The following is a 27,788-nucleotide window of genomic DNA, read 5'->3' as shown; positions in this document are numbered from 1 at the left end:
AGGGTACTATGGCAACAGGACTTTATCCATGTATGTCAAGGGGCAGAAAGGTTGCCCAGGAAACCATGTACTGAACCATGAAATCAGCCCAGGTTCCTGCACTTTCTAGGCTGTGATGCATGGCCAGACCCCCACAAAAACTAGACAGAGGCTGAAGATTCCACCTGAGATCTACGAGACCCAGTCTCTTAATGTACACATTTCCTAAGAGGTCTACAAAATATACCAGATCGTGACCACTTCTGGTTACTATCACTCTGATCCAAAGTCACTGTCACCTATGTGGAGATAAGTCATGTAAGGCAGGGAAGTGGCCAAGCAAGGGTGTGGTCTTCTTTTTTCTTTTCTTTCTTTTTTTTTTTTTTTTTTCTCTGAGATGGAGTCTTGCTCTGTTGCCAGGCTGGAGTACAACGGCGCAATCTTGGCACACTGCAACCTCCGCCTCTTCGGTTCAAGCGATTCTCCTGCCTCAGCCTCCTGACTAGCTGGGATTACAGGCGCCCACCACCATGCCTGGCTTATTTTTGTATTTTTAGTAGAGAAAGGGTTTCACTGTGTTGGGCAGGCTGATCTTGAACTCCTGACCTCATAATCCACCCACCTCAGCCTCCCAAAATGCTGGGATTACAGGCAAGAGCCACTGTGCCTGGCCAGGGTGTGGTCTTAAGTAGAGTCTAGCCTGGGCCTGAGCCACAGGTTTCAGGCTTTGCAGTGTTGGTTGTCCCTGTTAAAATAAAAACTTCAGCCAAATTAAACTTAAAGGAGTTTGAGCAATGAACAGTTCGTGAGTTGGGCAGCCCCCAGAATCCCAGCAGATTCAGAGAGACTCCAGGGATATGTCATGGTCAGAACAAATTTATAGACGAAAAAAGGGAAGTGATGTATAGAAATCAGCAGTGAGGTACAGAAAAAGCTAGAATGGTTACAGCTCAGCGTTTGCCTTATTTGAACACAGTTTTTGAACACTTAACAGTCTATGAGTGGTTGAAGTTCAGCTGCTGGGATTGGCCAAGACTCAGCTATTGTTACAGGCGAATACTTTTTTTTTTTTTTTTTTTAAAGACAGAGTCTCACTCTCTCGCCCAGGCTGGAGTGCAGTGACGCAATCTTGGCTCACTGCAAGCTCCGCCTCCCGGGTTCACGCCATTCTCCTGCCTCAGCCTCCCAAGTAGCTGGGACTACAGGCACCCGCCACCGCGCCTGGCTAATTTTTTGTATTTTTAGTAGAGATGGGGTTTCACCATGTTAGTCAGGATGGTCTCAATCTCCTGACCTTGTGATCCGCCTGCCTCAGACTCCCAAAGTACTGAGATTACAGGTGTGAGCCACCACGCCCGGCCCACAGGCCCATACTCTTAAGTTAGATTTTCAGTCTTGTCTGTCTATTAAGCTAGCTGACAGCTCATCCACAAGAACTCAAATATAGAAGTATGCAGTCCTTTTCAAGCCATATTTGGTTTGCTTTAACACCCTCTTTAAGACAAATGGGCTATTCTTTTTGCACCTTGATCAGTCATTGACTGCTGGCTTTCTCTTGAGGGCTCTATAACCTTATAGGCAAAGCAGTTCCCATTTGGCCAAGCTCAGGTCTGTGGAGAGTGGAGAGCTGGTAGCCATTAGCAAGCCAGTATTACAGCAGCTAAGGAATGAATACCCAGATTGGCTCCCTCCTGGGGACCTGCTCTGAATCCCAACAGCATCTAACGTAAAGGCATTCAGGGAGCTTTCTCCCCGCTTGCCCATTTGGGTCTGGGTAGGAAGAGCCTTGGGGGATCCATTTTGCTTTTTTCAACCACGAAACAAGTCACAAAAGCACATGGTGATGTCGAATCTCCAATGCGAGCCCTGTCGGTACCACAACTGTGTACTTTGTATACTGCAAACTGCGAGCATCACACTACACCCATGTAGAAGGACTGTCCTCCTCAAAACCTGTTCAGGGTCAGCCATCTTTTCTGAGAATGACTTGGAGACAATATATAAAAACCATTTGCCCTTATTTTTTACCTGCTTGTGAGTCTGTCTCTCAAGAGAGTCTCTAAATGGTCACTTGTCCAAAGAGATGCCCCAGTGTCAAGTTCACATCCAAGTCAGACACCATCTTATCCTTCTCGCTGTCCACTCAACTCTGCCTAGCACCGTCTCCTGCACTGAAAAGTCCACTCTGTCTTGATCACCCAATCACTTGCCTTAGTCTACTCTTGTCTTCTTGATGCTTCCACAGGAAAATGCTCTAACTGATAGTCTCACTAGGAAGCTTCATCTCCCAGGAGATGGAGATGTTGTCAACATTCTTAAAGCTCATCCTGGCTGGGCACAATGGCTCAAAACTGTAATCCCAGCATTTTGGGAGGCTGACGGAGAGGGTGGTTTGAACCCAAGGGTTCGAGATCAGCCTGGGCAACAAAATGTCACAAAAAAAAATCAAAAAATTAGCTGAGCGTGGTGGTGTGTGCCAGTGGTCTCAGCAACTTGTTTTTTGTTTGTGAGATGGAGTCTCACTCGGTCAGTCAGGCTGAAGTGCAGTGGTGGGATCCTGGTTCACTGTCACCCAGGTTGGAGCACAGTGGTGCCATCTTGGCTCACTGCAACCTCCATCTCCCAAGTTCAAGCAATTCTCCTGCCTCAGCCTCCCAAGTAGCTGGGATTACAGGTGTGCACCACTGCACGTGGCTAATTTTTATTATTATTATTATTTTTAGTAAAGATGGGGTTTCACCATTTTGGCCAGGCTGCTCTCAAACTCCTAATTTCAAATTATCTGCCCACCTCCGCCTGGTAAAGTGCTGGGATTACAGGTGTGAGCCATTGTGCCCATCCTTTCCCAGCTACTTGGGAGACTGAAGCGGGAGGACTGCTTGAGCACAGGCATTTGAAGCTACAGTGAGTTATGATTGCACTTACTGCACTCCAGATGGGAAAGAGTTAGGGGGAAAAAAAAGCAGCTCATTCTTATTTGTTAGGTCCTCCAATAGGGTGAGTATGAGTTCACCTGCCTTCTACCTCTTGCTTGGTATAGTTACCACATTCTCAGAAGCCAAATCCAATCTCTCTCTGTCTATCCACCTTTCCTAACCATCAGCTCTATTACTATGACTGACCTGCTTTATAGATAAACCCATTCTTATAATATTCAACAGGTATGAAGGGCAGAGGAGGGGCATAATTTAGTAGGTAGAGGAGATTCCCTGTTGGAATTTCAAGTCTCTTGGTGGACAGGTGTGAGAACCTTCAGGAAACCCACCAGCAGGGTCCCCTTACTGGGAAGAAAGAATAGATCAAAAGTTTACGGCACTTTTACAGTATGTTAGAGGACTTTGGTGTTTATTTTAAATTAGGGATTTCCTAATATTCCAAATGAGAAAACTGAGTTTCCACACGGCTAATCTACTTGCTGGAAGCCATAGAGAAGGAAGGAAGGAAGGAAGGAAGGAAGGAAGGAAGGAAGGAAGGAAGGAAGGAAGGAGGGAGGGAGGGAAGGAGGGAAGGGAGGGAGAGAGGAAATGGGAGGGAGGGAATGGGAGGGGATGGAGGGAGGGAGGTAATGGGAGGGAAGGAAGGGAATATATATATATGTATGCATGGAATGAGAGTCTGCTGATGGATTTCCTGAGGATTCTTGCCTCCATATCCCAGTAGACTTGAAATGAAATTCCAACTAAGACTCTTTCCTGTTTAACTACCCACCTCCATTTCTCCCTCCACACTTACGTACACGCACATAGGCGTCCATACACATATAGAAGTATACGATAAGGGGGGCCGGGTGTGGTGGCTCATGCCTGTAATCCCAGCACTTTGAGAGGCCAAGACGGATGGATCACGAGGTCAGGAGATCGAAACCATCCTGGCTAAAGCAGTGAAACCCCATCTCTAACACACACACACACACACACACACACACACACACACACAGACTAGCCGGACATGGTGGCAGGCGCCTGTACTCCCAGCTACACACACACACACACACACACACACACACACACACACACACACACACTAGCGGGACATGGTGGCGGGCGCCTGTAGTCCCAGCTACTCGGGAGGCTGAGGCAGGAGAATGGCGTGAACCCGGGAGGCGGAGCTTGCAGTGAGCTGAGATCGCGTCGCTCCACTCCAGCCTGGGTGACAGAGTAAGACTCCGCCTCAAAAAAGAAAAGAAGTGTACAAATAAGACCCCTGAATACCCAATTTTTTGCTTCTCTCCAAGAGGATGAATTAGATTTAGAGGAATTTCATTCAAAGTATAGAGAATTATTCTTCCCTTCATCAATATTTACCTAAATTATCATTGTCATCACTCACTCGTCAGTTTTTGCTGTGTGGACAGAGAGAAGATTAAAGGAGCTTTAGCTGCTCCTGAATTGTTAAGTTCCTGGAATTGTCGGATGGGAAGTGAGCAATGTAGTTTGAGCTTTTGCTTTTAAGCATCTCCCAAAACCTAGCTTGGTCAGAGCAACTCACAGCAGCCCCTTCCTATATGGGCAGCAACAAGGACTCATGCCCAAGCCCCTCTGATAGCCAGAGGTAACCTACCTGTACCTATTTATTTATTTATTTATTTTTATTTTTGAGATGGAGTCTCACTCTGTTGCCCAGACTGGAGTGGAGCAGCGTGATCTTGGCTCACTGCAACCTCCGCCTCCTGGGTTCAAGTGATTCTCCTGCCTCAGCCTCCCAAGTAACTGGGATTACTATTTTTTGTATTTTCAGTAGAGACAGGGTTTTGCCCTGTAGGCCAGGCTGACCTGTGCCTTTTCAAAGTGCTATGGATGATATAAATTATACAAACTTTAAATTCCACCCATGTCATTCCTGCTATATCATTTAAACCAGAGTTGTGATTAAATTATGCATTTATGGAGTGAAATTGAATAATATGCAGTAAATTACAAAGAGCCTTGACATGTATCTTCCACCAGCTATATGATACCCTCTTAGTGAAAAATTCTGGTCCAGCATGATGGCTGACATCTGTAATCCCAGCACTATGGTAGGCCAAGGCAGGCTGATCATTTGAGGCCAGGAGTCTGAGACCAGCCCGGCCAACATAGTGAAGCCTCAACTCTACCAAAGATACAAAAATTAGCTGGGTATGGTAGCACACGGCTGTAATCGCAGCTACTCAGGTGGTTGAGGCATGAGAATCAAGTGAACTTGGGAGGGAGAGGTTGCAGTGAGCTGAAATCACTCCCACTGAACTCCAGCCTGCATGACAGAACAAGACACCATCTCAAAAAAAAGAAAAAAAAAAAAAGAAAGAAAAATTCTGAAACTATTTAAATTCTGTGCAAAGCAGAGCACATTCATTAACCCAGATAAAAACAGATGTCTACTATATATAGCTACATATATATATATACACACACACACACACACATACACATATATAAAGCTACCTAAAACTTTGGACCAATTTATATATTATTTGTGACTCTAGGTAATTTATTGTTATTTCAAGCAAAATTGGCCCAAAATAATGACTCATATTACACTCATGTCTGCAATATTTGAGAAGTGGGGAAACCTTTATGGTTTTTATATATCAAATTTCAAAACCTAATAAATTATTTTTCTCTTCATTGGCCTGAGTTCTAATTCCAGCTATGCCATTAGTTAGTGGTGTGACCTTGGCAGGTTGCTAAATTTTTCTGGGCCACTGTTTCTTCAAGAGTAAAATGACAGGAAAAGAACAAACCCCATGGTAGCATTGATATTCCAGAGTTCGTCACATGTCAAGGCAGATCTCTAAGGAAAGTGACTACAAGAACAGTTACAGTGCATTCCTGGGCAAAATCTCCATTCTCCATTTTTTATTTTACTTTCTTTTTTGAGATGGACTCTCACTATGTCACCCAGGCTGGAGTGCAGTGGTGCAATCTCGGCTCACTGCTACCTCTGCCTCTCAGGTTCAAGTGATTCTCCTGCCTCAGCCTACCGAGTAGCTGGGATTACAGGCACAACCCACCACACCCAGCTAATTTTTGGATTTTTAGTACAGACAGGGTTTCACCCTGACAGCCAAACTGGTTTCAAACTTCTGATCTCAAGTGATTCGAGACCAGCCTGGCCAACATGGCAAAGCCCCAATTCTACCAAAAATACAATTTTCTGCCCTTTAACCTAGATTGTCCTCCTATAAACAGTCCAACTAAATCCACCACACATAGCCAGAGGAAAAAAAAATGAAGAGAAAAAATACAGTAATTCAGTGTCTGGTAATGCTAGAATGTTAGGCATTTACCTTATTTAATCCTTATTAATATTATGGATGAGACTTAGAAATTTCTCAGACAAGAAAAGTGATGGCAAGAACAACAAAAATAACAACAGCAACAGTGTAACAGTTACATTTTTCCGACCCTTACTATTTTCCAGGTAATGCTCTATGTGCTGTGCTAACTTAACCTTCTTGCCAACAATAGGCTTCGGTTTCAATTACTATTTTTACTTTCCTTGTGACGATACCAAAAAATACAAAGGCTAAAGATCTGCGCAGCATTATTGTATCTGCAACCTACCTGATATTTATAGGACAATGATCTAATCTGGACAATGACAGATTATATTCTACACTAGGAAAGTAAATCCAGAAATTTGTTTTTAAACAATGAACTTGAATAGTTCAAAATTTCTATATGTAGATTCCTTTTTTAAGGTATGTGATTGCAGTTTCTTCTAAAAAGCAAGCAGAAACTGAGGGATATCCATATCACAATTAGCTCCCATTTCTACAGACTTGCGTAAACCAAAAATAAAATTGTAAGCCCACCCCCCACCCCCACCCATCTAAATGGACCTCTCCTCTCAGCCAGGGCATTCCAAAGTTGAGCTGAAAAACTGATTCAGACCATGATAGGAATGCCTCATGATACCCATCTCCCTTTTGGAATTCAGGAAAAGCCAGCCAGCATTTCATCAACACAGACCTTAAGTCTGAAAAGAAACATTTGCAATCTAATCTCTCCACAGCCTGCTACCTGGAGGCTACATCCACACGATAAAACTTTGGTCTCCACAACCCCTTATCCTAACCCAGACATTCTTTTCTATCGATAATAACTCTTTTAACCAATTGCCAATAACGTGGAAGCCCATCGCACCATACCCTTGCTTCCAGTTGTCCCACCTTTCCAGACCGAACCAATGTAAATCTCACATGTATTTGATTAATGCCTCACATCTCCCTAAAATGTGTGAAACTAGGCTGTGCCTTGACCACTATGGGTGTGTGTTCTCAGGATCTCCTGATGTCTGTGTCACTCCTATGTCACTCAGAATAAATATCTTCACCGTTTTACAGAGTTTGACTCTTTTCATTGACATCTGAATGGCCAACACATAGAAAACTATAAAAAAAAAGTCTACATTAATAAGACTTTCCTAAAATACCAACAAAGAAAAGTATCTACTTCAAAAGATACATTGTGCATGTGGGGTGGTTGTTCGGGGGATGTGGGAATGAAGGTAAAAAGGAAACAGTGTTGGTCGTGAGTTGGCAATTGTTGAATCTGGGTATCTGAGTACCCAGGGATTCATTATACTATTTTGATTTCTTACAGACATAGTTGAATTTTCCAGAATAAAAATTTGGAAAAAAATATCATTTTTGATAACATTTTAAAGGTAAAATTACTGGCTGATGGATCTTTTTTTATTTATTTTTTTATTATCATACTTTAAGTTTTAGGGTACATGTGCACATTGTGCAGGTTAGTTACATACGTATACATGTGCAATGCTGGTGTGCTACCCCCACTAACTCGTCATCTAGCATTAGGTATATCTCCCAATGCTATCCCTCCCCCCTCCCCCCACCCCACAACAGTCCCAATGAGATCACATGGACACAGGAAGGGGAACATCACACTCTGGCTGATGGATCTTAAAAATTTCAGAGAGCAGCTTTTAAAATACACTGTTTTTGAGCATTCGGAAAGAACCTCTTTAAAGCGTTTTGGGCACAGGCTTTCAAGAGGCAACAATTTTATCTGCTTTGAATTACCAATACAGTATGGAATTACCCTACCTCTAGCTGTATGAGTTTTTGTTTTAATATTAATCTAATGCTATCCTCTCTCAGCCTTAGTTTTGTATCTGTGAAATAGCGGTCATAGTCATAATTACCTTATAGTGCTTCTGTGAATATTTTATAGGGATGTCAAGTGCTTAGGCTGGCATATACAGGAAACAATTAAGCAATGAAAAAAATGTAGCCCTTAATATCCTCCCCAGAGCATTTTACGTTTCTGGATACATAGTCGGGAGTCAATTACTCAATGTTGGATGAAGGAAGAAAGTAATGATAATAGGACAGGCACTAACAAAATGCATCCAATTAGGTGTTATCTACATTTCACAAACTCACCAAGAAGTTTTTATTTGTTTCTGTTTGTGCCTATGCTCATTGAGAGTTGGTTCAACAACTTGGTAATTAAAACAAATATCTTGCATTTCCAACAAACTTAACGGCATAAAACGGAAGGCAATTACTCATCTCTGATTTAGGCTTAATATCCAGCATCCCTTAATTTATTCTAATTTAATATTCAAAAGAATATCCTTAAGGTAATATCCTTGCACAACTCGCAATGACTGCAACACACCAAATTAAGACCAGCATCCATCAAGTGTACAGAAGCTGAACCCCCGGAGCAAAAAGTGAACCTCAGATCTAAGGAAATGCCCGCAGTCAGCCTGACGCAGGCAAAATACTCTTGCGCATTGAGAAGAAACCCTCTTGCCATTATCCAAACTTAGCTCATTAGCCCCCAGATATGCAATCACTGCCTGAGTGTAAGCAAAGCAGACATATTCACACATCGGCACAGATTGGTCCCCAGTCACACAAACCCAAGGGTTCCATTAGCAACCGATGTGCAGGCTAGCATCCCTCCTTTCTAGGATCTAGACCACAGGTATCCTGGCCCCGGATAAACTCTGTGGCATGCCTTAGAGACATGCATGCTCTGTGCTTGACAGTCCACCTCGCCTCTACAAAGCACTTTCCATTCTTCTGATTAAAACAAGGAAGATGTCTCGCTTAGCTGCCACACTGATTCTCAAACCTCCTAATCACCCTTTGAATAAGGCACATTACATTTAAGAATAAGATGTCAGCAAAGTATGTAGGGGAGCGTGTGCTTGTGTGTACATGCACAATGGGGATAGGTCACAGATTTTTGAATATTCAAGGATAACAGATCTTGGCTGCAAATACTACTGAAAGTGTGAGTTATCTATTGCCATGAGACAAATTACCCTGAAATGTAATGGCTTAAGACAACAGTAATCATTCATTATTGCAAAAGAAAATTGACAAGAAGAGAGAGAAAAAGATTTCCTTTTTATGATCTACTGTTGGAAGTCACATGGTATTGTGTCTGCTACATTCTATTCTATTCATGGGGAGGGAGATGAGGCTCTACTTTATGAAGGGAAACTATCAAAGACTTGGAGAGATCGTCTGAAACTACCACTCTGAACATCTGCTACATGCCAGGAACCACACTAAACACATTACTTCTGCTGCCTCCCCTAATTCTGACCATACACTCTGAGCTATGTATTATTATCTCACTTCGATGATGGGAAAATTAGGCCAGATAGGCATATAGCTCAAGGTCACTCGAATAGGTTAAATAAGCTGTTTTTTCTTTTTCTTTTTTTTTTCCGAGATGGGGGTCTCACTGTCACGCAGGCTGGAGTGCAGTGGAACGATCTTGTCTCACTGCAACAACCCCTGCCTCCTGGGCTCAAGCAGTCCTCCTATCTCAGCCTCCCGACTTGCTGGAACCACAGGCAAATGCCACCAGGCCAAGCTAATTTTTTTCTATTTTTGGTAGAGACAGGGTTTCACCATGTTGCCTAGGCTAGTCTCAAACTCCTGAGCTCAAGTCATCTGCCAGCCTCGGCCTTCCAAAGTGCTGGGATTACCTGCAGGAGCCACCGCACCTGGCTTAAATTGACCATTCAAGTGATACACAAAGCGTGGCCCCTTTCCCTCTGAGATCCTCCAAACTAAGCAAAGGGCCTCACAGCTTTTTCCTTTAAAGAAAAAAATCTCGAGATCATATTTTTTAACTCCCACATATGAGTGAGAATATGGTACTTGTCTTTCTGTGCTTGAGTAATTTCACAACACAATGACCTCCAGTTCCATCTGTGCTGCTGCAAATGACATGACTTTGTTATCTTTTTAAAAAATTCCTTCTTTTTATGTCCAAATAGTACTCCACTGCATACATATACCACATGTTCTTTGTCCATTAGCCCACTGATGGACAGTTAGGTTGATTCCATGTCTTGGCTATTTTAAGTAGTGCTGCAATAAACATGTAAAGGCAGGTCTCCCTTTCAAATACTGATCATGACATATTCTCTGCATGTAAAAAAATACTCACATATTTATTACATAAATACGTATTCTGTATTGATAAAAGAAATAAAGGAAAACATCATGAAAAAGAAAATCCCAAGCGCAGCAACTTCAGTCCAGACTGAAGAGCTGCTTTCACAGTGACTCAAGTTACCGCTCTGTAGTTCTATAGCAAGAATCCCTAGACCAGGAACTGCAGCTAGGTATGCACATACTGTTAGGAAAACTCTGTACCAGAAGCCCAGGAAGTTCCCTGTCTCACTATGGGTGGCAGAGGAGCATTGCCAACTACCTCTGAAATGCTGCTGTCGTACGCCTACCCTCAAGGCCTCTCGGACAGCAGCTCTAGCCCAGTGTGCAATCGTGTCCCCTCCCTGACCCCTGGCTGGTGGGCTGAGAGGATGAGCATTAACTTTAGTGATAAGTACTTTGATTTTTCAATACCATGTTGTTGTTTTTTAATCACTCAAACACTGGTATTTTGTTGTTCAATAACTTTGTTTTGACAAAACAAAATAATGAAATCCCAATTATTGATTTCTTAAGATAAAGAGAGGTAAACACTGCATGAAAATTTTGGATATAGAAAATGAACACTAGTTTGGAAAATGTTCTGACCATACTTCTTCCCCACTCCCTTTTAAATTCTTCCAATTTGTTTTTGTTTTAATGAGACGCAGTCTCGTGCTGTCCCCCAGGCTGGAGTGTGCAGTCATACGATCTTGACTCACTGCAACCTCTCCCTCCCAGGTTCAAGTAATTCTTCTGCTTCAGCCTCCGGAGTAGCTGGGATGACAGGTGCTTGCCACCACACCTGGATAATTTTTGCATTTTTAGTAGAGAAGAGATTTCACCATGCTGGTCAGGCTGGTCTGGAACTCCTGACCTCAGGTGATCTGCCTGCCTTGGCTTCCCAAAGAGCCGGGATTACAGGCATGAGCCACTGCACCTGGCCAGGATGGCCATTATTTCTGAAAATTGAATATAAGTGTTGGCAATGATGTGGACAGATTGGAACCCTTGTGCACTGCTGACGGAAATGCAAAATGATGCAGTGCTACGGAAAAGAGTATGTCGGTTACTAAAAAATAAATAAATAAATTACTCTATGATTCATCAATTTCACTTGCAGCTATACACCCAAGACAACTGAAAGCAGGGACTCTGAAAGGTATTGTACACTCCCGTTCATAGCATCATTCACAGTAACTCAAGTGTGGAAGGAACCCAAGCGTCTACAGATGAATGGAGGGATAAGAGAAATGTGGTTTACACATACAATGGAATGTAATTCATCCTTAGACAGGGAAGAAATCTTGTCAAATGTGATGACACAGATGAACCTTAAGGATATTATGCTAAGTGAAATAAACCAGTAACAAAAAGACAAATACTGAATGATTCCACTTACATGAGATACTAGAGCAGTCAAGTTCATAAAGACAGAAAGGAGAATAGTAGTTGCCAGGGGCTGGGGGAAGACATAATGGGAGTTAATGTTTAATGGATATAGAGTTTCAGTTTTACAAGATGAATAATGTTCTAGAGATGTACAGTGGCCATGGTTACACAACAGTGTGACTATATTTAATGCCTCCAAACTGTGCAATAAAAAGTTAAAATGGTAAATTTTACATTGTATTTATTTCACACAACTCAAAAACAAATTTAACAGAAAGAGATTAGTGAAAGTAGAGACATGTGTTTGAGCACTTCAGAATCTGGTGCAACTCTCCATGAAAGATGCCTGGGGCTAGATGTTTGGGCAGCCTGTGGACAGGCCCGTGGGATGAGGAAGTGAGGCCTACGACCTACAGCCAGCACTAACTCACCTACCATATAGGTGAGACACTTGGAAGCAGATCCTCCTAAGGATGTAATCCATCAAGAAGGGCTATGGTTTTAATGTTTCCTCCAAGGTTGAAATGTAACTGCCAATGTAATGGTATTGTGAGGTGAGACCTTTAGGAGATGATCTGGGCTGGGCATGGTGGCTCATGCATGTAATCCCAGCACTTAGGGAGCCTGAGGCAGGTGGATCACCTGAGGTCAGGAGTTTGAGACCAGCTTGGCCAACAGGGTGAAACCCCGTCTCTACTGAAAATTCAAAAAAAATTAGCCAGGTGTGGTGGTGCATGCCTGTAATCCCAGCTACTTGGGAGGCCGAGGCAGGGAAATCACTCAAGCACAGGAGGTGGAGGTTGCAGTGAGCCAAGATCATGCCACTGCACTCCAGGCTGGGTGACAGATGGGATGCCATCTGAAAAAACAAAAACAGCAACAAAAAACAACAACAACAAAAACCAAGATGATCAGGTCATGAAGGCTCTGCCCTCAAGAATGGATTGTTGCAGGAGGTTAGCTACTGCAGGTGTCAGTTAGTTTTCACTGGAGTGGGTTAGTTATCTTGGGAGTTGATTCCTGATTAAAAGGATGACTTCAGCCCCCTGGTTCTCTTGCTTACTCCTCGCCTCCTCCCTCTCACATGCGCTCTTGCCATGTGATGCCTTATACCACGCCCTCGTCAGATACCAGTGCCATGCTCTTGGACTTTCCGACCTCCAAAATCATAACTGAGTAAACTTATTTTTCTTTATAAATTACCCAGTTTGTGGCAGACCACAGGAAACAGATCACAACAAAGAGATCTGCACAAGCAACAGGGAGGGTTAGACCCACCAACTAGAAACTGTCTGACTTTGAGTCTGTGAGCCTTTCATTAGTTTTCTCATCTCTCAAATAGGGATAGAAGCTGGCAAAGACAAAGCATTGTGGTGGTTGTGGGGTGGGATATGTTGTCCATTGTAGGGTGGCAAGAGTGTGAATTGACAAAGCCCTTGGGTGAACAAATTGGCAAGATGTCCCCAGCCTTAAAATGAGTGTTCTCATTGATGTAGTAGGTTCTACTTCTGGGATTATACCCTGCAGAGATGCTGGTCCAAGGCAGCAGACGTTTATTATGCCTTTAGTGGTTCATGCACACATAAACATACACATATATGTATGTATATATGTGTATGTATGTGTGTGTGTGTGTGTGTGTGTAGAGATAGATAGATAGATAGATAGATAGATAGATAGATAGATAGACAGACAGACAGACAGATAGATAGATTTTTTTTTTTTGGTAGCACCAAAGAGCAAACAACCCCTTAATTCCCATCAGTAGAGAGAAGAGGTTAAAAATATTATGCCATATCTACACAGCGCATTACTAGTAAAGAAAGGTCAATGTGTTCTGAATTTTTCTTAAAACTACAACCTTTATAATATAAATCAATAAGTATTTATTCAATATCTGCTATTCTAAATGTTAGGCATACAGCAATGAAAAACAAACCAACAAAACCTGATTTCTACATCCAAAAAATTTACAATCCAGAAAGGAGAAGATAGGAAATAAGTACATATGTATGTGTGTAGGGGGGTGGGATACTATATATATATATATGAATATACATACAAATACACAGAAGACTCGGCTATGGTGAGGGGGCAGGGGTATTGGATAGGAACATGCTATTACAGTTAAGATTGATCCAGAACATTCTCTTACAAGATGACATTTGCTCATAGACTGAATAAAGTGAGAAAACTGTATAGCTCTCTGAGGGAGGATCAAGTGGCCAATAAACATATAAAAAGATGTTAAACCCATTTTAAAAACGGGGAATTAGGCCAGGCACAGGGGCTAACACCTGTAATCCCAGCAACTTGGGAGGCCAAGGCAGGCGGATCACCTAAGGTGAGGAGCTCAAGACCAGCCTGGCCAACATGGTAAAACTCCATCTCTACTAAAAGTACCAAAATTAGCCAGGCATGGTGGGGGGTACCTGTAATCCCAACTGCTTGGGAGGCTGAGGCAGGAGAATCACCTGAACCCAGAAGGCAGAGGTTGTAGTGAGCCGAGATCACACCACTGCGCTCCAGCCTGGGTGACAGAGTGAGACTGTTTCTCAACAATAACAACAATAACAAAAATAGCCATCCTGATGGGTGTGAGGTGGTATCTCATTGTGACTTTGATTTGCATTTCTCTAGAGATTAGTGATGTTAGGTATCTTCTTATGTGCATATTGGCCATTTGTATATATCTTTTGGAGACACGTCTATTCAAATCCTCTGCTCGGTTTTGAGTCAGCTTGTTTGCTTTTCTGTTGTTGAGTTTTAGGAGTTCTCAATATATTCTCAATATTAATCCCTTATCAAAGATGGGATAATATCTCTCTTCTCTTTATTTCCCTAGCACAGATTGAGGGGCTCACATGGAGCTTCTCAACATTCAAGAGCAGGCCGAGTAAACCAGCATAACCAGCAGGGCTGGTTTGCTATGGGAGAGAGGGGATAAGCAAGGATGTGGAGAGAAGAGAGAGATCTCGCTCTGTTTTTCCTATTACTTCCTGGACAGGTTTGCCAGTCATTCTGATTCCTGACGAACTATGGGGTAAGGAATGCATAGTGGATGTTTTCCTTCCACACATTTTCTGTCCTCCATAAGGGCTAAAGCAGTGTTTTTTAAATGTAGGTCAGGATGAAAAGAGATTTAACTTTTAATATTTGAATTAAAACAGCATGAGCAACTTCTTTGAATACAATAAAAAAAGCTACAGGATATTCCCTGAAACGATCATTTCTATTTTCCTCTGCATTTCATAAATAATAAATGTGTTAAAAAAAATAACCCCGTAGTAACACATTCTCTAACACACTAGTTATGCAAGCTGGATATAACTCTGAGAATCCCTAAAGGTGAGAAAAATTGAATTTGGTGGGACTTTTTTTAAGCTAAAAATTAAATTTCCCCGGCCCCATGCAGACCTCTTCCCTCACAGCTACAGTCATAACTGGATTTTTAAGCCTTCTGAAAATATTGTGGCTTGCAATAAAGCAAAGCACTGTGTCAAAAACTGCTTAGAATACAGAAAAGCACGCTTCTGATATATACCAGGGAACTGCTGTTTACCTGGTGGAGGCATCAATACTGCTTGTGGATGTCATTTTGACAATGGTGACGTGCACCGGGATTCTAACCTTGCCTATATTCACATTATGAATGAAAAAACAAGGTAAACCCCTCTTCCATTTACCAGAGCTTCCCCAGTTTCCTACCTCTAATCCAACCCTTAGCAATATCTTCTTCTTCTCTGTCATAAAGGGTAGGATCCAAGCAGTTAAGAACACACTTGCCTTCAAAGAGTAGAATGTGTTTGCTCTGAAGGTAGTAGGGTATCCAGGAGAAGAGATGTGTTTAATAAAGTATTGAAGAGTTGCAATGTGGGCCTGTGAATTAAACACTAGACTGGGGAGTGGGGCAAGCATGGTGTTTTCCTGGCGTCTTCCTAACTGGCTCACATCTGCTCCCTTGGAACTCAAGCATGCGTGTCTGTGAATGACGCTTGCACCGTGAACATCTTTACTTCCCAATGACATGAGATGACATCTGCTTTGGGGACTTGAAGCCCCCATATCTGACAACTGATGCTCTACTGGGCTCCATTTCTAAGTTTCTGTGGTGATGATGGTGGTGGTGGTGGTTTTAACTGGCTGATTTTTTTGTGTGTGTTACTGTTCTTTTTCTGTGTGCATATGTCTTTTCATAGCGGAAAGAAATCAAACAATGTGAAATGATGAAACACACACATATGCAACCGTGATTGATTGGCAGACATTTTAATCTTTTACTTACCACTCTGACCTCACAGTTCTTCAGTAATTTGAGGGCTACTTTTGAAGAATCCCACATGAATGCAAGGCTGCTAGAGACCTTGGGAGCTACAGGGTAACTGTAAGACACATTGCTGATCCCAAGGAATTTATAATTTCCTTGGGCCAACAAGGTTACCCTGGATAAAACGATTAGAGAAGACAAGAGGTGCATAATTAACGCATGAAAGCAGTCTTATTTCTGAGTTGAACGTTCTTTCCTCAAGCATGTCCTGAGCTCTTGGCTGCCAGCTCACCCCTTCATTATCCTACAACAACCTCTGCTCCCACAGGGCCCTTTGTTGGCTCCAGAAATCAGGATTCTCTTTTCCTCTTTTCTTTCCCCGCCCCGTCTTCCTCCAGATCGCCTTTGTCCCTGATCTGATGGTTCACAACCTTGGCTGTAAGCTTTTAAAAATCTGGATGCCCAGGGATCCTCAGACCAATTAAATCAGAATCTTCGGGGGCAGTACCCAGACATCAATCTTTTCTAACACTCCCCATGCAATGCCAATGCACAGCCAATGCTGAAAACCCCAATCACACACACTAAGAATTGTGCCATCTGCCGAAGGGACTGAAGGGAACCAAAGTAAAGAAGCAGCTCCCAGTCATCTGGGGCTTCAACCCAAGTTGGGGAAATTATAAATCTAGAGGGGTGGGTGCTGGGGGTGGAAGCCAGCAGCAGCGGAACAGCAGCTCAATGGGAAACTTTACGGAGATGCAACTACCTTCAAGATTATGACCAATGCCATTATATCATTATATTTAGTGTTTAGATGATGTTTAGCGTATGCTATTAGTATATGTACACACTTGAAATGATGTGTTGTGAGATCCACATTTTCTATTTCCTTCAGTGTTAGGCTTCTGGCTCTTTAGGGTGGTGGCTTAATTCAACAGAACAAAAACAATGATTGGAGATTTTAGGTTCCAGGCCTTACATAGGGCACTGACTTATAATCAGCCTTGCTACAGTGCCCTAAAATCTGCTCCCCCAAAGGGCAGCAGGTGATGCTGACATCCTCACTATTATTCAACATGCAGCAGATGTCTATTAAGCCCCTGCTAAATGTCAGGTACTTTTCCAGGCACACAGGACACAGCAGTGAATGATGCAAAAACGAAAAACAAAACAAAACAAAACAAAGAAATATCTGCTCACATGGAGCTTCCATGTGGAAAGAAAGAGAGGAAACATTTTTGAAAATAATGATCAGCCTGTTAACACGAGACGTTCGGATTTTTTTTTTTTTTTTTTTTTTTTTGTGAGAAAGCGTCTCACTCTGTTGCCCAGGCTGGAGTGGAGCGGTGCGATCTCAGCTCACTGCAACCTCTGCCTCCCGGGTTCCAGCGATTCTCGTGCCTCAACCTCCCAAGTAGCTGATACTACAGGTGTGTGTCACCACACCTGGCAAATTTCTCTATTTTTAGTAGAGATGGGAACTGGCAGCTTCAGCAGGACCTAGGGTTTCGTTAAAAAATGAAATCCCTGAGCCCCACCCAGACCTAACAATTCAGAACTTCTGAGGGTGGGGACCCTCTAAGTCTCTAGGGGATCAAACCCTCTGGGGGAAGCTAATGCAAACTCAAGCTTGAGGCCCATCGGTATAGGAAAAGAAAAATGGTGGGTGGATTTAGGTAACGAAGGGTTAATAGTAATCGCTGGTTGAGTAGCAATTGCTTGACAAAGCTGTCTGAGAAGCTGGCAGAGGCCTGAGTAAGGCAAGGAGGAGCAACTGCATTCCAGCAGTGACAACAAAACCCAGGCCCTGAGGGAGTACCTGCTAGGACAATGCGCAGGTTCTAAGTGAAAAATAAAAAGAGTCACGTGGATGTTTATGTATTTTGTATCTGCACGGGACAGAAAGATCAAAACGATAATTTTAAGAACTCAAGAGACCCAGCAGAAGCATTTAAAAGTTCAGTCTCCAAGAAGTGTGCTCTCTTTCACCAGTTCTTGAACGAATTAACGGGAAGAAGAGCTAAGTAGCATTTTTACCTTAACCATGCACATATGTTTACTCAGCCCGCAAAGCTGTGTCTTCTACACCTTCAAGACAAAGGGAGGAGACAGCCCCAGCATGCAACTAGCATTATCTTTCAAAGGCAGAGCCTGCAGGATTTCTCCCTGCAATTTTCCAGAAAGCCTCTCCCTGGCCTGCAGCCTATAACACCGCTACAAATGTCATTAACTTAATCAACCCACTGAACCTACTATCTACATCTGAACACCGATCAGGAGGCAGGGGAAATTCTGAGGCCTGCTGTGTGGTGAGGATCCCAGTGGGTACTTTCTGCAGGCGGGTCTCCTGTTGCACAACTCTGTGTACCCAGTCACTGCCAAATAAGGGTTTTTGTTTTTGTTTTTTCTTTGAGATGGAGTCTTGCTCTGTTGCCCAGGCTGTAGCGCAGTGGTGTGATCTCAGCTCACTGCAACCTCCCCCTCCCAGGTTCAAGGGAGTCTCCTGCCTCAGCCTCTGGATTAGCTGAGATTACAGATGCACACCACCATGCCCAGCTAGTTTTTTGTATTTTTAGTAGAGACAGGGTTTCATCATGTTGGCCAGGCTGGTCTTGAACTCCTGACCTCAAGTGATCAACCCACCTCGGCCTCCCAAAGTGCTGGGACTAACACGAGCCACCAAGCCCAGCCAGCAAGTTGAGGTTTTTGAGCATAGACAGAGATCTGACGGTTGACATGGTTTCCAGGACTACAGACTTAACGATGAGTTTAGGTTACTAAAATAAATTAATTGCAAAAGTAAATAAATAAATAGATGATAAAACAAAATTACATAGAGAAATGTAATTACAGATTTTTTTTTTAAATCACATAACCTTGCAAGGAACTCACCAAAGGTAATTTCGCCAGGCTTATTTTATTCCTATTTCTAAATATCATCCCTACCTGGGGGATTTCCCGTTCTTTGCTTGTCTGTGTTTGGGTGTTTAAAATCAACTTTGATGTATTTACTACCAAATACTTGCTCAAATATCAAGCTGTTAACGCATTCCAGGCCCTACCCTAAGCCCTTTGTAGCCACTATCTTATTTACTGATGCCCCCAAATATTTATGGATTGCCTCCTCTATGCCACCAACTAGTCTTAATGCTAGAGCTATGTCAGTGAATAAAATAGATCAAAATCCCTGCCCCCCCGGAAATTTACATTCACAGTGGAATAGGGTGGATAGGACAATAAATAAATAAATAAATAAATAAATGTGGAGTCCATTAGTCGCATTAAAAAGGATAGGCTGGGTGCAGTGGCTCACTCCTATAATCCCGGCACGTTCGGAGACCAAGGCAGGTAGATCGCCTGAGGTCAGGAGTTCAAGACCAGCCTGGCCAACAGGACGAAACCCTATCTCTACAAAAGTTAAATGGGCATGGTGATTTGCACCTGTAATCCCAGCTACTTGGGAGACTGAGGTACGACAATTGCTTGAGCCCGGGAGGCAGAGGCTTCAGTGAGCTGAGATCATACCACTGCACTCCAGTCTAGGCAAGAGAGCAAAACTCCATCTCAAAAAAAAAAAAAAAAAAAAAAAAAAAAAAAAAAAAAAAAAACCAACAACCTAGATGTCCAACAACGATAGACTGGATTAAGAAAATGTGGCACATATACACCATGGAATATTATGCAGCCATAAAAAATGATGAGTTCATGTCCTTTGTACGGACATGGATGAAACTGGAAACCATCATTCTCAGCAAACTATCGCAAGGGCAAAAAACCAAACACCGCATGTTCTCACTCATAGGTAGGAATTGAACAATGAGAACACATGGACACAGGAAGGGGAACATCACACACCAGGGACTGTTGTGGGGTAGGGGGAGGGGGAGGGGGGAGGGATAGCATTAGGAGATATACCTAATGCTAAATGACAAGTTAATGGGTGCAGCACACCAACATGGCACATGTATAAATATGTAACAAACCTGCACGTTGTGCACATGTACCCTAAAACTTAAAGTATAATAATAATAAAATTAAAAAAAAAAGAATAAAGGTAGAAATATTTTATCACAGTAAGGACAAGAGGTAGGTACTTGCACCTCATTATTTTGCAGGTGAAGAAATGGAGGCTCGGTGATACAGTTTGGATATGTGTCCTCTCTAAATCTCATGTTGAAATGTGATCCCCAATGTTGGAGGTGGGCCTGGAGGGAAATATTTGAGTTATGGGGGTGGCTTCCTCAAGAATGGCTTGGTGCCTGCCATCCCCTTAGTGATGAGTGAGCACTCACTCTGTTAGTTCACACGAGATCTGGTTGTTTAAAGGAGGCTGGCACCTCCTCCCCTCTCTCTTGCGTGTTCCTCTTCCCTGCCCAACATGCCTCCCATGATGAGTGGAACCTCCCTGAGGCCTCACCAGAAGCAGAGCAGATGCTGGAGCCATAACTGCACAGCCAGCAGAACTGTGAGTCAAATAAACCTCTTTTCTTTATAAATTACCCAGTTTCAGGTGGCATTATTGCTATTATTATTATTATTATTATTATTTTTGAGACAGAGTCTTCCTGTCACCCAGGCTGGAGTGCAGTGGTACAATCTCAGCTCACTGCAACCTCCACCTCCGGGTTCAAGCGACTCTCATGCCTCAGTCTCCCGAGAAGCTGGGACTACAGGTACGTACCACCATACCTGACTAATGTTTGTATTTTTAGTAGAGACAGGGTTTCACCATGTTGGCCAGGATGGTCTCAAACTCCTAACTTCAGGTGATCTGCCTGACTCAGCCTCCAAAGTGCTGGGATTACAGGTGTCAGCCACCACAACTGACCTTCAGGTATTTCTTTATAGCAATGCAGCATGGACTAATACACTCAAAGAGGTTCAGTCACTTGCCTGAAGTTTCATGGCTAGAAGGTGGCAAATCCTTTATTGGACTCCAAAATAGACTAACTATTAATTAAGCTTTGATATCTGTGTTCCTGACCACTTTGCTGGCCTTCTACTGCTTTAAAGGCTAGAAAATGGCAGTCAAGGGGTAAAGAGTAAAGGGTGTGTGGGTATATCTGATGCATCTTCCATGCTCCCCTGCTGATTCACTCTCCATCCCATTCCACCCTGCTCTCTGCCCTGGAAAATGGTCAGCCATGATTAACAGAATACCACATCTTTTTATTTATTTATTTTTGAGATGGAGTCTTTCTCCATCATCCAGGCTGGAGTGCAGTGTTGTGATATTGGCTCACTGCCTCCTCCACCTCCCGGTTTCCAGCAACTCTCCTTCCTCAGCCTTCCAAGTAGCTGGAATTACAAGTGTTCCCCACCATGCCTGCTAATTTGTGTATTGTTAGTAGAGATGGGGTTTCACCATGTTGGCCAGGCTGGTCTTGAACTCCTGACCTCACATGATCCTCCCGCCTTGGCATCCCAAAGTTCTGGGATTATAGGCATGAGCCACCACACCTGGCCAGGATACCACATCTAGCAGCCTGTGGGGCTGGGCTGATGGAGAGCTCAGGCAGGCAACTGAAGACCAGGAGCAGGGACCAGGGTATTTATTCTCAGACTCACACTGGACCAGCTGCTTTCCTATCTCCTTTGGAATTCTACAAATCACTTTCTCTCATTGCCTTCTGGGCTTAGGGGTAATAACAGCTCTTGTATAAACAGCCGACGGTACTGCACTGTCTATGGTTTGCTTATACACTGCCTATAGATTTATAAGTAGTTTGTGTATTAAAGGCACCTTACATCATCTGATTTGGATATGTTCTGGTTGGTCATTATCAAAAATGGCCAAAAGGAAATACAGACATATAGACCCCCTTGTTTAAGACTTCCCAAGGTACACCTAGAAATGGAAATGCTCACTATGATGTGCTCTGTGACACCATCATCACACAATCCCACCTGTGATGAACGCTGACCTCCTGATTTATTACTCACAGTCACCATACAATAAGGAAATTACTGGAAAATGTTTAAAATCTCAGAAGGCTTTCCAGTTTTTGGAGTGGTGGATGCAGTGAGGCCCAAAACATGGCCTAAGTTTACTCCACCCTCACCTGGCTTACAGGTGGCTGCACATTTCACATTCAACAGTCAGCAAGTAAAAGAATCACATGTTCATTTATTCCACACACACGAAAAAAGCCAACTGTCTCCTGGAAATGAAAACACAGACGCAGGAAAATAAAAGATTTTAAATGTGGAAAAACACAGCAAAGAAAATGAGCTAAAAGATTAGCAACCACCCACAAATTCAGGAAGAGGCAAGACAGCCTGGAAGTGCTCACTGCAGAGAGCAAAAACCAGCAGCCACTGCTGTGCCGGGTGGCAGATGTTCTTTAGTGGGCTTGCAAGGGGCTGCAGCATGCGAAACTTGCCATTACCACCGGACACTCGGAACTGAAAACCAGTGCTTTCCAATATCTGAATAAGTTACAGTTTATATCAATGTAGGATGCTCAGGTCTTTCTGAGATCGATGCCAATGCCTCAGACCTCTCCATTGTAGCAAGAACCACTGAATTGCACCTACCCCCCAGGATCCATTTCACATCCTCCCCTGTGTGTAAGGTGCTCCTGAAGTTGCACAGGGAACAGCCTGTGTGAAGAAAGTTGTAGATGCTAAAATCTGGGCAGTGATTAACCTGAATAGTAATACCAGCTGCCAGTTGGTAACAGCAGTTATATACATTAAATAGCCACAAGGTGTTAGGCATTGTGCTAGTTCTGTGTATATTCTAATTCATACAATATTTCAGTGGTGTGCAGAAGCTAAGGTGACTGCCAATGATCCCTGACTTCCTGTGTTCTCACCCTTGCATAATCTCCTCCTCTTCATTATGGGTAGACCTGGGACTTGCTTCCAACCAACAGAATGCAGCAGAAGTGATGGAAAGTTACATGGTGATTATGTTCATGTGTGTGTGCATATACAACATACATCTTCATATATATACACACACACATACATATGCTCATATATATGAACATTATCACGGTATAACTTTCCATCACCTCTGCCTGCCATACTGTCTATTGATTGAAAGCAACCCTAAGAAAAAAAAAAATATATATATATATATATATACAGTAATTTATGTATATACATAAATTATTCTTTCTCCACTGCTTGAAGAAGCAAGCTGCCATGTTATGAGAGGACCTATGGCAAAGGCCATGTAGGAAGGAACTATGGGTGACCTCAGAAAGCTGAATGCAGCCTCTGGAAGGTAAACATGGTTTATGGCCAACAGTCAGCAAGAATCCACCAATCTCAGACTTACGGTCACAGGAAATAAATTGTGCCAACAACCTGGGTGATCTTCGAAGCATATCCATCCCCATTTGAGCCTCCAAATGTGAACACAACCCACCTGACAGGTTCACTGGAGTCATGTGAGAGCATGAACAAAGGACACAGCTAAATTGTATCAAAATTTTAACCCATAGACATTGTGAGAAAACAAATGTGTGCTGTTTTAAATTGCTAAATGTGTGTGGGTAATTTGTAACACAGAATAGAAAACTCATGCATTTAGTTAAGATGAATATCACCATTTCCTAAATGAAGAGATGGCAGCCTGGGGGAGTTTAGGAAACTTATCAATGGTCACAAAGCTAACGAATGGTGCAGGAGCTCAAACCAACACCTGCTGAGCCCCATAGTCTGTGGGCTTCACCACAACCACTTGAGATACTGTGTTCCAGTCAAACAAGGGCAAACTTATCCAGTAACTATAGAATCCATTCTCTGATAGTCATTACAGACTAGCCAGATAGTGTCCTGCAAAAACCTATGTCCAAGTCCTAATCCCTGATATCAGTGAATGTGACCCTATTTGGAAATAAAGCTTTTGCAGGTGGTGTAACTAAGTTAAGGATCTCAAGATGGAATCATCCTGGATTCAGGGTGGATGTTCTCCTAAGAGGAGGAGAAGACACACACAGAGACAGAGGGAAAGCCCACTGCAGATGAAGTAAAGACTGGAGTGATGCAGCCACAAGCCAAGGGGTGCCAATGATTGCTTGGAACCAAAAGAAACTAGGGAAGAGGTATGAAATGTATTCTCCCTCAAAGCTTCCAGAAGGAGCTAATATCTCCACATCTTGATTTCAGACTTCTAATTCCCCAAACAGTAATGGAATAAATTTCTGTTGTTTCAAGCCTGCCACTAGCTGGTCATTTGTTATGGTAGCCCTTGGCAATTACAAGAGCCTCTGTGGACTCGGTGCTCCCTTAATGTCTAGGACACATCTAACTTTTTCGTATCAACTTAAACAAGCCATTTATAAGCTGAGGAAGCAAGAGAAACAGTAGAAAGGACTCTGGTTTCATGCAGAAGAGAGAGATTGTATCATGACAATATCAGGAGTGAACTTCATTAAGAGCAGAACTACCGTTTGATCCAGCAATCCCACTACTGGATATCTACCAAAGGAAAGAAGTCATATAAAAAAACACATGTGCATACCCATGTTTATAGCAGCACAATTTGCAATTGCAAAAATAAGGAACCAAACTCAATGCCCATCAACCAATGAGTGGATAAAGAAAATACACCTACACCATAGAATATGACTCAGCCATAAAATGGAACAAAATAATGGCCTATGCAGCAACTTGGATGGAGTTGGATGCCATTATTCTAAGTGAAGTAACTCAGGAACGGAAAAACAAATATCATATTTTCCGTCTTATAAGGGAGAGCTAAGCTTTGAGGATGCAAAGGGGCAAGAATGATGTAATGGACTTTGGGGACTCAGAGGGGAAAAGTGGGAGGGGGTAAAGGATAAAAGATGACACACTGGGTACAGTGTACACTGCTCAGGTGATGGGTGCACCAAAATCTCAGAAATCACCACTCAGCAACTTAACCATTTAACAAAAACCACTTGTTCTCCCAGAACTATTGAAATAATAATAATGAAAAAAAAAAAAAAAAAGAATGATCTTAGCCAGGTCACTCAGCCTCCTGGAAATTTTTCTCCTTATCTATAACATACAATATATCAGTGCTGATGACAATGTCTTATGGATCTGGATTCAATCTGGATTTTTATCTCTCCATCAACAAAAAGGACGGAATTTCCAGATACTTGTTCGAAGATACCAGGGTTTCCTTTAAAACAAATTTCAAGCCATAGGAAGTGGAGAAATGTCTAAGAGAGTAGGTTCTGGATCTCTCTTGGGATTTCATGGTTCAAATCCCAGGTCTACTCTTTATTAGTGTGTGATGCTGAGAAGTTTACTTAAAAAAAAAAACCCTCTATGTTCCAGTTTGGGGGAGCTTTATTTTATTTTTTGGTCTATAAAATGGAGCTAATAAGAGAACCTAAACTGCTGGGCTGTTGTGAGGAATTAATTTGGAGAAATTAATACATGTAAACAGGATAAATAGGAATTGGTCAAGAAACATTACCTCTTGGGCCAGGCGCCATGGCTCACACCTGTAATCCCAGCCCAGCACTTTGGGAAGCTGAGGCGGGCGGATCACCTGAGGTCAGGAGTTCAAGACCAGCCTGGCCAACATGGTGAAACCCCATCTCCAAAAAAACAATACAAAAAACTAGCCAGGCACGATGGCAGGTGCCTGTAATCCCAGCTACTCAGTAGGCTGAGACAGGAGAATGGCTTAAACCCAAGAACGGAGGTTGCAGTGAGCTGAGATCCTACCTGTGCACTCCAGCCTGGATGAATGAGCAACACTCTGCCTCAAAAACAAACAAACAAAAATCATTAGCTGTTGTTATTAAATGGAGAAATGGTGTTTGAAATAGGACCCTGCGTAACTAGATCACAGCCACTTTCCTCCCCACCCCCACTTTCTCCTCCATCTGTTACATCAGGTAAGGGCCAAGCCTGCAATGTGTTGCACTGAAAATACTTGTTTATTAACGAGTGCGCTTCTGCTCAATGCTCCTGCATACTCCTATGCCCAAGATTAATTAACCATAATATCAACGTGAGACTGCCGCTTCATGTTGTCTGCATTCGGAAGGCAGAGAATGATTTCTTTCTCTGAAACGACCAGAGATATGCCCATTGGGTAGGACACTCAGTGACAAGCAACCACATTTTCACTGAGAAGGGTATGAGATTTGGGTAAGATAAATAATTCATTTTTATGTCCCTGGTTACTTATTCTTTAAATGATGCCTCTGGATATCAGGAGGGAATTGCAACATGAAAGTTATGAATTAGGGCCCAGGCAGACATTAATTTAATTAACAATTAATTTGATTGGATTTAAGATGGTTTTACTCTGCATGTATGAAGTCTTCCTATAGCTACAGTTCAAAAATATTAGTGGGCCCCAGAATCACCCGGGTAGCTTGTTAAAAATTCATAAACAATGGCACCAAGCCCAGTGGTCTGATTCGGTAGGCCTGGGGTGGAGTCCCCAAATGTGTGTTTCCTTTTTTTTTTTTTTTGAGATGGAGTCTTGCTCTGTCACCCAGGCTGGATTGCAATGGTACAATCTCAGCTCACTGCAACCTCCACCTCCCAGGTTCAAGTGATTCTCCTGCCTCAGCTTCTCTAGTAGCTGGGACTACAGGCTAGCATACCCAGCTAATTTCTGCATTTTTAGTAGAGACAGGGGTTTCACCATGTTGTCCAGGCTGGTCTCGAACTCCTGACCTCAAGCGATCCACCCGCCTCGACCTCCCAAAGTGCTGGGATTACAGGCGTGAGCTAATGTACCTGGCCACAAATGTACATTTTTAACAAATTCGTAAGTGGCTCTCCTGTAGGCTACCCTGAGACTTAGGTTGAGTAAGAACACCCTAAAGGGATAATACCCAGGTCTCCATTGTCCCTCTTTCGACTTGTGTCAGTTTCTTGGTATTTTTCCAGGATTTCTGACAAAGGATGATGTCTCCCCCAGGGCCCTGTTCTCTAAGAGGCAGCTGAAGGTCTGCTACTGAGATCCACAGAGGAGGAGAACAAGCCCTGAGGATATGAAATATGTCCACTTGGAATGCCGAGGTTCCCATCGAAGCAAAGGGGAAGAGTCTACTCATCACACAGCACACAGACCCTCCTTCAAAACAGCAAATGGTATCTGGAACATCTTAACTCCCACTTCGGTGTAGAAGGCAGGAAGGGAGCCGGTGTCAGAGCTTCCTAACTTTTATTTCAGAAGAAGGAGACACTTAGAAAAATGAACATTGTTAGCATTGATCTTCCTTTGGACAGAGTGTTTCTACCAACTCTCTTCCTTTCAGGTTTAAAGAAGGCGGAGACAGAAATGGATGTATTCCCCAAATGAAACACATCAAGGACAAAAGCACTTGTAGATTTCTTTATAAGATATAGAGCTACACTCAAGTTCAGAAACTCTTCATTTCATGTGCAATCCCATATACTGATTTCACCAGATGGGATTAGTCACTAACTGTGACATCCTCTGTTCAGTGTTTGGTTACAAATGAGTCCCTAACAGTAGCTGGGACAGACTCTTTGCAGTGAGAGCGGGGACCAAGGTGGCCACTGAGATTTTCTATTTTAAATACAAATTAAGAACAGAAACTCAGTCTGCTCTGTGGACAAAATCATTTGCAGGCTGGGTACAGTGGCTCACACCTGTAACCCCAGCACTCTGGGAGGCCAAGGCAGGTGGATAACCTCAGATCATGAGTTCAGGACTAGCCTGTCCAACAACATGGTGAAACCCATCTCTACTAAAAATACAAAATTAGCCTGATGTGATGGCATGCATGTGTAATCCTACCT

At 42.9% G+C, this 27,788-nt stretch overlaps 1 protein-coding gene across 30 annotated transcripts in view, besides 2 other annotated features; it reads right to left on the bottom strand.

The window, feature by feature from the left end:
• The window catches only part of RBFOX1 (RNA binding fox-1 homolog 1), a 2,473,620-nt gene that overhangs the window by 768,574 nt on the left and 1,677,258 nt on the right, over nucleotides 1-27,788 (bottom strand). The window lies entirely within an intron of this gene.
• Nucleotides 17,499-18,173: an enhancer, noted in NCBI's record as "NANOG-H3K27ac hESC enhancer chr16:6976595-6977269 (GRCh37/hg19 assembly coordinates)". NCBI's record gives its function as "activates a minimal SCP1, AML or CMV promoter by ChIP-STARR-seq in primed H9 embryonic stem cells {active_cell/tissue: H9 hESC(primed)}" and the evidence as "EXISTENCE:reporter gene assay evidence [ECO:0000049][PMID:30033119]".
• Nucleotides 18,174-18,848: an enhancer, noted in NCBI's record as "NANOG-H3K27ac hESC enhancer chr16:6975920-6976594 (GRCh37/hg19 assembly coordinates)". NCBI's record gives its function as "activates a minimal SCP1, AML or CMV promoter by ChIP-STARR-seq in primed H9 embryonic stem cells {active_cell/tissue: H9 hESC(primed)}" and the evidence as "EXISTENCE:reporter gene assay evidence [ECO:0000049][PMID:30033119]".

Source organism: Homo sapiens, chromosome 16 (genome assembly GCF_000001405.40).
Source record: "Homo sapiens chromosome 16, GRCh38.p14 Primary Assembly".
NCBI classification, from domain to species: Eukaryota; Metazoa; Chordata; class Mammalia; order Primates; family Hominidae; genus Homo; species Homo sapiens.
Note: the sequence above shows the minus strand (reverse complement) of the source record. Positions and strands in the feature narration are given on the sequence as shown.